Source organism: Homo sapiens, chromosome 12, assembly GCF_000001405.40.
Source record: "Homo sapiens chromosome 12, GRCh38.p14 Primary Assembly".
In the NCBI taxonomy this organism is placed as follows: Eukaryota; Metazoa; Chordata; class Mammalia; order Primates; family Hominidae; genus Homo; species Homo sapiens.
The window spans coordinates 128,974,904-128,985,929 of NC_000012.12; the positions used below are offsets into that span (position 1 = coordinate 128,974,904).

At 49.3% G+C, this 11,026-nt stretch overlaps 1 protein-coding gene across 11 annotated transcripts in view, besides 1 other annotated feature; it reads left to right on the forward strand.

The window, feature by feature from the left end:
• The window catches only part of GLT1D1 (glycosyltransferase 1 domain containing 1), a 131,491-nt gene extending 121,426 nt beyond the window's left edge, over positions 1-10,065 (forward strand). For 10 of the 11 annotated variants that reach the window (NR_159493.1, NR_133646.2, NM_001366889.1 and 7 more), the window contains one exon: positions 8,026-10,065. Coding sequence is in view for 9 of the 11 variants with exons in the window: in NM_001366889.1 (NP_001353818.1) it covers positions 8,026-8,187 (162 nt within the window). In the remaining 2 variants the exon portion in view is untranslated. Of the gene's footprint in view, positions 1-2,621; positions 2,756-8,025 lie in introns of those variants that run through there. The other variant, XM_047428371.1, reaches the window with a different exon arrangement.
• Positions 1,654-2,158: an enhancer, noted in NCBI's record as "H3K4me1 hESC enhancer chr12:129461102-129461606 (GRCh37/hg19 assembly coordinates)". NCBI's record gives its function as "activates a minimal SCP1, AML or CMV promoter by ChIP-STARR-seq in primed H9 embryonic stem cells {active_cell/tissue: H9 hESC(primed)}" and the evidence as "EXISTENCE:reporter gene assay evidence [ECO:0000049][PMID:30033119]".
• Positions 10,066-11,026: the final 961 nt, after the last annotated feature.

The window sequence follows — 11,026 nt, forward strand, 5'->3', positions numbered from 1 at the left end:
CTTCGCTAAAGAAGTGTTGAAGAAAGAAGCATTTGCCCCTCATTGAGGCTGTTCTCCCCTCCACCAGCAGTGAAGATGAATCGGATGGGAATTAGCTTTCTCACCTGCTGGCTTTCCTTTGTTTAGTGCCCCCCCGCACCTGCACCTGCAAACCTCCTTCCTCATGCTACAGACTCCCACGCTCCGTCACTCCTGAGCACCCACCATGTCTGTGGGTGGCCTGTTAGATACACGCTCAGGCATTGTCCCGGCAAAGGGTCTGAGCACGGAGCCTCCCTGGCTCAGCGTGCTTACACAGGGCCCACTGGCAGATTCACTGGGGGTCAGTCTTGGAATGGACGTCAGACTCAGGCATCATGACTGGGGGCGGGGGGAAGTCAAGCATCGTGAGTAGGGGTCAGAGTCCCCACCCTACCACCTTGTCCTCTGGCTCTGTATTGAGTAATTGCTATGCACAGGGCTCATTGACTGAGAGGTTATTTCTGACCCTACCCAGTTGGCTTGCTCAGTTTCCATCTGCAGAAGATTCCCATAGCTGTTTTTTTGTTTTTTATTTTTTTCTTTTGAGACGGGGTCTCACTCTGTCACCCAAGCTGGAGTGCAGTGGCGCTATCTCAGCTCACTGCAACCTCCAGGTCCCTGGTTCAAGCAATCATCCTGCCTCAGCCTCTGGAGTAGCTGGGACTACAGGCGCGTGCCACCACGCCAGGCTGATTTTTGTGTTTTTTAGTAGAGACAGGGTTTCACCATGTTGGCCAGGCTGGGCTTGAACTCCTGACCTCAAGTGATCCACCCGCCTTGGGCTCCCAAAGTGCAGAGATTACATGTGTGAGCCACAGCTCCCGGCCCCCTAATGGCTGTTTTTGATACTTATTTTAAAGTGAGCCCCTAACTGTAACCATGATGTTCAGGGTGAAATAACTTCAATTCTCCTATAAATCAATGACTACTCTGTGTTTTAAGAGGTGGGTGGAAGGTTCATGCTGAAGAGTTTAGAGAAGAGCTTCGTGTTCTTTTGCATGGTCCTGACTTTACCCGATGCAGGAGCTACTGGGAGAACAATCAACGTACGCTGGCAGTCGGGGTGATGACATGGTCACATTGATGTGTCGTCAGCGGCGACAGTTTGACAGTTTGGATAGTGCCATAAAATGTGACCAGAGGGATGGTGCCGTGTACAAGAAAAGTACCACAGTCAGATGCACGTTCCTCTTCTAGGCATTGAGGTCTTGAAGGAGGAGCCTCACAACTTGCAGTTTTCAACAAAATAAATCTGTCCCATGACCAAATAATTTTTGGAAAATGAGGCAGGCACGGCAGGTTGCCTTAGACCTGTCAGGCTTCCTGCAATCCCCTGGGGGCGCTGTTGGACACTGTTAGAAAACGCTCATTCCTGAACCCCACCCTCCACCCACCCAATCAGTATCTCGGGGACTGAGGGCGGGTATGTGGGGCGTGTGTGTTTTACAAGCTCCCTTAGAGAGTCTTACAGCAAGGTTTGAGAAGCAAAGCCACCGTCGAAGCCTTAATTAACTCAAAGCCTCCAACCAGAAAAGCCCGAGGAAAACCCGAGATCTTTAACGACGGCGGCCTGCGCCAGCCTTGAGACACTTCCTCGTCAACGTCTCCCATCGACAAGCTGTCGTATTTGAAGCAGCGGGAGAGGAGCTTCGGGGCTGTTTAGTTTAACACACCAAGCCTGAAATTCAAGAGTTTTCCTGTGATTGACTGTAGCTCATCTTGGAAAAATAAGTATATATCACTTGCTGAAGGTTGTCAGAATGTAATGCTCTTTAAAACCGTAACGTTTTAAATCTGCCAGCCCCAGCATGCATCCTGCTCAAGGCTTTTGCTTCTCGTGGAGGAGTTTTTTTCCCCTTCTGTTCTATGGCTTTGAGGTGACATCATCATGAGAAGGATTGTAATGAGGTTCTAATATTCATTTTATAAAATGGGTACTGGCTGGGCGCAGTGGCTCACACCTGTAATCCCAGCACTTTGGGAGACCAATGAAGGTGGATCACTTGAGGCCAGGAGTTCAAGACCAGCCTAGCCAACATGGCAAAACCCTGTCTCTACTGAAAAAACAAAAATTAGTCGGGCGTGGTGGCACAAGCCTGTAATCCCAGCTGCTTGGGAGGCTGAGGCAGGTGAATCGCTTGACCCCGGGAGGCAGAGGTTGCAGTGAGCCGAGATCGCGCCGCTGCACTCCAGCCTGGGCGACAGAGAGAGACTCCATCTCAAAAGCAAAACAAGAAAACAAAATGGCCACCACTTCTTTTCCTCTGGATCTTGGTGAAACCTCAGGGGGATGGAGCAGGTCAAAAGGATTCAATGAGAAATGCTCCACCAGCAGCTCCAGACTCCTCAGAAAGGAAGAAGCTCTGAGGACGGTCATCAACTAATTGAGTAATTACTCTCTAAAGACAAAACCATGCTCTTTTGCATGATTATTATTATTATTTAACATCACAAGTGCATTACCTGAGCCAGCGTTGGCACACCTGTGGCCCTGGACCTACATCTGGTCTGCACATGTGTTTTGTTTACTTTGCTGTATTCTTAAAATATTGAATTACCTGTTGATATTTAACATGGAACACTTTTACATAAATATCCAGAATTTAGACCTCTCTTGGAAAAGAAAAGAAATGCGGCAACCAGCATAGGCCTGTATTTACCATGTGGCTGTGTGCACCTCCCACTTCACCTGCTGGGCCCCGGAAGGCATTTGCGTTTCCCACCGCTGATCAGGAACAGGTGAGGCTTGTTTTAAACTCTCTTGAGAGATGGAATTTCTGTACTTGGTTTTGCTTTGAGTTTTTAGCGTCTGCCCTCTATAATGCCTTGTGAGTTCTTTTCTTTTTTCTTTTTTCTTTTTTTTTTTTTTTTGAAACAGAGTTTCACTCTTGTCGCCCAGGCTGGGGTGCAATGAATGGCGCTATCTCAGCTCACTGCAACCTCTGCCTCTCAGGTTCAAGCGATCCTCCTACCTCAGCCTCCTGAGTAGCTGGGATTACAGGTGTGTGCCACCATGACTAGCTAATTTTTTTGTATTTTTGGTAGAGACAGGGTTTAACCATGTTGGCCAGGTTGGTCTGGAACTCCTGACCTCAGGTAATCTGCCCACTTCAGCCTCCCAAAATGCTGGGTTTACAGGCATGAGTCCCCGCACCCGGCCTGTGAGTTATTTTCATAAATAATTTTCAAGAGTAGATCACTGCATAGCCAAGCAGAAGATCCTGAGTGGACACCCCCTCCTCCGGGGTTACAGTGCGTGTGTGTGGCTGTCAGCCAATCGGCTTTTCCGCAGCTCCCAGCTGAAACCTGTGTGAAACCTGCAGCACCTGGGCTGGAAGGATCTGCCTCAGGGACACTCAGGTCTGCAAGTCCTGCTGTGTAGCTCTCCAGTGCATTTGATAAGGTGCCCGGTGTCAGATTCCAGAGCCATGGCTGATGTCCGGCATGGCATGTCAGGGCGGGCACGGCTCTCCTCCTCCGTGTGAGTGTCTGGCCCTGCCTTCCTGTGTGCGGCATCGTCCTGAGGTCGGTGGGAATTGCTGCAGTGGATCCGGGCTCCCCATGCGACCTGGGTGGCCTCAGAGGCTGGAGGGGGCAGTCGTTCCTAGTGTTCTCTTCTTAGAAGGAGGAAACCACTTTTTCCAGAAGACACTGACTGCTGATCTCTCCCTCCCATCTTGTTACGGGAAAGGGGTCCCGATCCAGACCCCAAGAGAGGGTTCTTGGATCTGTCGCAAGGAAGAATTCAGGGTGAGTCCGTAAAGTGAAAGCGAGTTTATTAGGAAAGTGAGGGAGTAGAAGAATGGCTACTCCGTAGACAGAGCACCGTGAGGGCCGCTGTTTGCCCATTTTTATGGTATTTCTTGATGATATGCTAAACAAGGGGTGGATTATTCATGTCTCCCCTGTTTAGACCATATAGGGCAATTTCCTGACGTTGCCATAGCATTTGTAAACTGTCATGGGGCTGGCGGGAGTGTAGCAGTGAGGACAACCGGAGGTCATGCTCATCGTCCTCTTGGTTTTGGTGGGTTTCCGCTGGCTGCTTTACTGCAAACTGTTTCATCAGCAAGGTCTCTGTGACCTGTGTCTTGTGCCGACCTCCTATCTCATCCTGTGACTTAGAATGCCTTAGCCTCCTGGGAATGCAGCCCAGCAGGTCTCAGCCTCAGTTTACCCAGCTGCTATTCAAGATGGAGTTCCTCTGGTTCAAACGCCTCTGACAATCTCAGTGGCCAGACTTGGGTCAAACGTTGGCAGGGGAGAACAGGGTAACAGTGTTCATTCTCTACTGCATGTAACAAATCACCACAAACTCAGCAGCTTGAAGCCACACCTGCCTGCTGTCTGGCAGTTTCTACAGGTCCAGGCTCTGGGCACAGCCCAGGTGGGTCCTCGGCTTGGGGCCTCATGTCCCACCAGTCCCTCTCGGTGGCTGGGCCACATTCTCCTCTAGGGCACGGTTGGTGGCGGGGTTCAGTTTCTTGTGACTGTGGGACTAAGGCCATTGTTCTCTCGCTGGTTGTTGGCCAGGGGCCACCCTCAGCTCTTAGAAGCTGCCAGGACAGATGCCCCTGGATGTGTGATGGGCTACATCTCAATAAACCCACTGGAAGCTGAAAATGCACTTAACAGCCTGGGCAACACAGTGAAACCCCGTCTCCAGAAAAAATACAAAAATTAGCCAGATAAGGGGCATGTGCCTATATTTCCAGCTACTTGGGAGGCTGAGGTGGGAGGATCTCTTGAGCCCAGGAGGCTGAGGCTGCAGTGAGCTGTGGTTGCACCACTCTACTCCAGCCTGGGTAACACTGCGAGACTCTGTCTCAAAAAAAAAAAGATGAGAAAATGCACTTAATACACCAACCTCCGGAGCATCCCGGCTTAGCCCAGCCTACCTCATCAGTGCTCAGAACACTTACACTAACCTATAGTTGGGCTGTCATCCAACACAAAGACTGTATTACAGTACGGTTTTGCATATCTCATATAATTTATCAACTACTGTACTGAGAGTAAAAATAGAACGGTTGTATGGGTGCCTGAAGTACAGTTTCTACCAAATGCATCTCACTCTCACACCATTGAAAAACTGAAAAACCTTAAGCTGAACCATCATAAGTCGGGACTGTTTGTGGTTTCTTGCCCCACGGCCTGGCAACATAGGGTGTCCCCTGCTCTGCTTTGCTGAGATGAAGTCCTGTGTGACACCACCCTGTCGAGGGAGCCACATCCCGGGACCTTTGCCATATTCTGTTGGTTGGAGGCAAGTCCACCCACACTCACGTCACAGGTGGGGGTGGCTGGGGTCAGCCCAGGGTGTGTCTGCGACCCCACAACAGGCTCGGACAAATCAGGACCAACTTTTGGAAGTGGAGACAGGGTCTTCTTCCCAGACCATGTTGTAAAGGGGTAGAACTTCAAACATTCACGGTTCTCTTGTTGAAGAGGAGGAGCTGAGTGCCTGGCAAGAGTGTCAGTTATACATCACTGTGTAACTAAGAATCCCAAAAGTCAGTGCCTTACAACTACCGCCATTTGATTTGTTTGCAGTTTTCCGAGTCTGCAGTTTGAGCTGGATTCGCGGGGTGGTGCTTCTGCTGATCTGGTGAGTGGCCTGGGGCCACTGGTCCAGCAAGAGTCTTCTGGCGGCTGGCCTGGAGCTGGATGTTCCGAGACGGCCTCACTCATGGTGTTGGTCACTGCTCAGTGTCCCTGTTCACATGGCCTCCCTTCCCCCAGGAGACTAGCCCAGGCTTTGCTTTACCTGGTGGTCTCCAGGGCCGGGGCGCATGGAAGCTATAAGGGCTTTTGAAGCTTTGTGTGGAAGGCAGACGGCATCACTTCCGATATATCCTGTCAGTCAAAGCAAATTACCCGAACAAGTCAGATTCATCGGGGGCGGGGTGGGGAATAGACCACACCCACTCAACGGGGACAGTGGCAGTGTCATATCGCAAAGAGATGTGCATACAGGGATAGAGGGTGTGGCCATCTTTGCAAACCATCTTCGCTGGTAAGCACACGACAGTCTGTGTCCACATGGATTTCTCACGTCTACAGGCGCGTGTCCAGCAGATTCCCGATGCAGCCACACAGGAGCTTTTAGTCCAGAAGAAAATCCCAGAGCCTCAGGGAGTGACTTAGGATTCAAGAGAGATTTTTGCTTTTGCTAATGGTTTTCCTTTCCTTTCTTTCTGCCACTCATCCAGGGTTTTAAGCCAGCAGCCAAGACGTTGCTTACTCATAACCCCCCTCTCTCTTGCTTTATTTAAGTCTATGTTTTTTCGTTCACTTTTCCATGCGGAGAGAAAAGAAGAGTGTGTTTTATCACAATCTGTTCCTAGAAACTCTTTTATTGAGGATTTGGTTGTAAAAGGGCCATGCATTCTGTAGGAATAGTAAGCAGAGCGGGGAAGGAGGGGGTTGGGTTTCCACCAAAGTCTCCACGTCAGATAAATCAAAGATATGACCAGCATCATAAAATAATATACCCAGCTATAAGCATCTCAAATGATTTTAATAAGAATGTTGTTCTACCCTGAAACGGGAATAAACATATTTTTATTATAAAACGACCACCAATTTACTATGAAGTATAAACGTAATCTATAAACATATAATTCTACTGTACGATAAATATTGCTATTTATATTGCCAGCTATAAAAGGCACTCAACATTTAATTAACAATAATTTTGAGAATATGTTTATGTGCCTTTTAAACAGCAAAAGCACTCTATGTTGATCTTAGGCATTGCTGCCTTCTTGGAATTTACATGGGCTGTGGGGGAATAACCATGGTAATGAGAGCTAAGTATGTGCCGGGCTTTGCTCAAAATTCTTTGTTTGCAGTAACTCATTTGCTATCCTCTCAACACCCTAGGAAAGAGGTATGTGATTACCCCTGATTGACAGTTGAGGAGCTGAGGCTTGGGGAGGGTAAGAAATTGACCCACTGCCGCTCACGTGAAGGGTAGGGTGTGGATTTAAACCCACGCCTCCCGTGTCAAGAACTCTGCTGTTGACTTACACACGCGCATGGAGAGTAACGACTGGTCCCCTCCTCTCCCTGAATACCCTTTAACAGTGAAAATACTTCTAATTTTTTTTCCAATCCTGAAGGGCTTTGATATTAAAACCAGGTCAGCAGGAGCACTCTTTCATTGCTGCACCAAGGGTCTGCAAGCCTTCTTCAGTAATGAGCATAAACGGAAACACAGCCCGAAGCTGAGCCGCGGGAGGAAAGGCCAGAAAAGCAAAGAGCTGATAAACCCCCCTCCCTCCCTTCTTCATGCTGGGAGCCCCTGGGACTTGGGGTAGGGCTGGGTTTACCGATTAAGTATGCATCACTCCTCTACAGATGGGAAATGTGGTGCTCAGAGAGGCTCACTAGCTTGCCCAAGGCCACACAGCAAAGTGAGGTCGTTCAGAAGAAATTGAACCCAGGTCTGGCTCTGAAGCACTAGTGCTTTCCACTAAAGCAGATACCACCCGTATTGTGAAGACAGGCTTGGCTCTGCACCCAGGGAAGAGGACAGAACAACACAAAGGAAAAGAAATGGGCTGGGGGTCATATTGTATGGGGCTCAGACTCTGGGGTAACACCTAATTTCACATCTGAGGCTCCACTCATGAGAGGGAAGACATTGTGGATCTGAGAGTCCTTGGGAAGACAGCTGGTCTTGTTGATTGAGGGAAGGGAGTTGATGGCTCCAGTATTTTTCGTGATGTTCATCCCAGCATATGTGTGCGTGTGTGTGCATGTGTGTGCATATGTGTGTGTGCATGTATGTGTGCGTGTGTGTGTGTGTGCATATATATTATTTCCTACTCAGTCTCAGTGTTTGCATTAACTCCCATCCCTCCTAAAAGTCACTCTCTCCAGGCCCAGGAGGCAGACAAGGGCAAGGCCAGCAGCCAATGCAGACACAGGATCTTGGGTGCATTTGCAAAATCTCCCTTCATCAGTGATTTATGTCTACTTCTCCTTCCTTTTTTGCAGGAGTTTGTTCATCTGGCAAAGAGACTGGTTAGTGATCCTGCATTAGAAAAGGAAATCGTAGTGAACGGAAGGGAATACGTGAGAATGTATCATTCATGGCAGGTGGAAAGAGACACCTACCAACAGCTCATCAGGAAGCTGGAAGGAAGCACTGAAGATTGAGGGCCCCGCCTCATCAGACACCTGCTCTCTGACACACAGCTCTGGGTGCACACTCAGAGACAGAGTTCTGGATCACGTGGGCCCAGTGCAGTTCAAATAAAACCAGCCTCAGCGGAATCCTAGAAAATGTTAGTCGTGAGTCCCCAGAGCCACTGCATTCATCCCATATCCTTCTGTGCGTTCAGATGCTGTCCCAGGCGTGTTCACCAGCCAGTCCTGATGGAGGTGCATGAGTGACTGGGTTGACTGGGACAGGGAAAGGGGAACTGGTTTTCAGGGAATTTGGGAGAGAATTTGATTACCTGCCTTAGGGCTTTGGTGTGGACAATAGAGGCTTATTTTCAAGCAGTCATGGTTCAGACTCCTCCCGCCTGCCTTCTGACCAACCTCTCCCCATCGTTGCCAGTTTGAAAGGCAAAAGCAAAACAGACGTGTCAGCTGAGCCGAGTCCTCGCAGGATTTTTGTTGTGATCTCAGGACTCTGACAGGCACGTGGGTGACCCGAGGCTTCTCTGAACACTAGAAAGCGCTGTGAGTGAGCTCACGCCCGGCACAGCTCACTTTTCAATGGTGGAATTGAAAGTTGTGCTTTTTAGAAAAGTGGCCAGGCTGCCCGCAGGCCCCGCCCACCTCTTGGCTGAATTTGAGTGGAAAACCAGGAAGGAACAAGCGCCACGTCACGCATAGCCTGCAAATCGCCCGCGTGACCCTGAGATGGAGGCCTGAGGCTTTGGGTCCAGGGTGGGCTCTTCCCCTTCCCACATCAGGGACCCGGGGATGGATGTCGGAAGGGTCACCAGCCTCCAGCCTTTGGCAGGATGGAGCTTGGGTCTGCAGGGCTTTGCAGCCACACAGCGAGGTCAGTCCGGGGCCAGCCGCGCCATCATGGTAATGGTGGCCTCGCCCCATCCATGTCATCCATGTCACATGAGGACGTGCAGTCTTCCTTGTCCTCTCCTAGTGGAATTTGCCTGGGAGAACCTCCACTGAATACTGAAATTGTTGCATGCCTGTGGATTCCTTACGACAATGGGGAACGCGGTGTTTCCCACCTCTTGTGGGTAGAAAGCAGTCTGCTTTGAGGAGGCGAGAAGGCAAAGCCAGGGCAGGGCGTTGCTGTGGGAAGCGTTCGGTGAAAGCGGGTTTCGACGCTTAGGAGGGCCGAGGGAGAAGATTCCACCAGCATTGTCCTTGCTTCAAGTTTTAGGATGTCTGAACTTTCAGCTTTCATGTTTTCAACCATCATTTTTTTAATGGCACAACCTACATCTTGTTTTTAAAAGAAGTAGCCTCAAATTAAACTCCTTAAACTCTGATGCCCTGGGGATGAGAACAACTAGCTTGGATCTCGTGCCGTGTAATTCAATGTTTCATTCCGCTGCCTCCATCATGTAATAGAATCGCTTTCCAGAAAGGCAGTTAACTGGAAGCAGCAGAGGCTCCCAGCCGTGAGAGGACTGCTCAACAATGCCCCCCATCGCCGCCCCCCCACCCCTCGCACCCCTTGTGTTTTCCCTCTGAGGGGCCCAAGGGTTATGGCTTTCATGTCTAGGTGTGGGGACAGAGGAGGGAGAGGCAGATCCTGGGCCGGGAGAGGATGGCCTGGTCTGAATCTGGAGTAATTAATGCCACCCAAAGAAAAGGCCCTGCCAGGTCCAATGTTGTCTTAGATCTGATGATGCTGCTATTTACAAAACACTGATCGTCCGAAAGCTTGAATCTGTTCCTCCTCGAATGACCCTGTAGATGCCTGACCTCCACCGTACCTCCACATCACTATTCATGTCCTTCTAGGAAAATGTGCACATGCCTCACGCACTATGTGGGAAGGGCGTGTTTTTAAATTAATAAAGTGTGTCACCATTAGCCATACGAAAATAGCCTCTCTTTCTTCCCACGGTGAGCAGTGTTCTGCAAGGAGCAGGCCCCTTCCCCACCCGCCAGGCCCCGCGTCTTCAAAGGAAGTACAGACACTCAAGCATCTAGTTAAGAGGGGGTTAAAATGCAGCCACTATTTTAATACCCAAGTATAGATGTAAAACCAGGGCTTTTCCATGAGGGTTCTACAGGTGTTAGTTTCATACTTGGTTCACTTTATGTTTAAACATTTATTTATTTTTATTATTTTTGAGACAGAGTCTCGCTCTGTCACCCAGGCCGGAGTGCAGTGGTGCGATCTCAGCTCACTGCAGCCTCTGCTTCCTGGGTTCAAGTGATTCTCCTGCCTCAGCCTCCTGAGTAGTTGGGATTACAGGCGCCTGCCACCACACATGGCCTAAACATTTATTTATTTTTATTTATATATAGTATTTGTATTTTTATTTGTATTTTTAGTAGAGATGGAGTTTCACCATGTCGGCCAGGCTGGTCTCGAACTCCTGACCTCAAGTGGTCCACCCGCCTTGGCCTCCCAAAATGCTGAGATTACATGTGTGAGCCACCACGCCCAGCCTAAACATGTATTTATTTTTATTTGTATATATTCATGGGGCACACATGCAGTTGTGCTCTGTTGATATATTGCACGGTGGTGAGGTCAGGGTCTTCGGGGCATCTATCACTGGGCAATGCACATCGTACCCACCAAGCAACCTTCATCCTCCCCTCCTCCCTCTGAGCCCTCGAAGGCCCAGCGTTCCACACTCTGCATCCACGTGTACACATAATTTAGCTCCCACTTACAAGGCAAAATTTGCAATATTTGTCTTTCTGTTTCTAAGTTGTATCAGTGAATATGATAATGACCTCCACTTCCATCCATGTAGCTGTAAAAGACATGATTTCATTCCTTTTCATGGCAGAATAGTATTCATTGTGTGTATATATTCCACATTTTTTG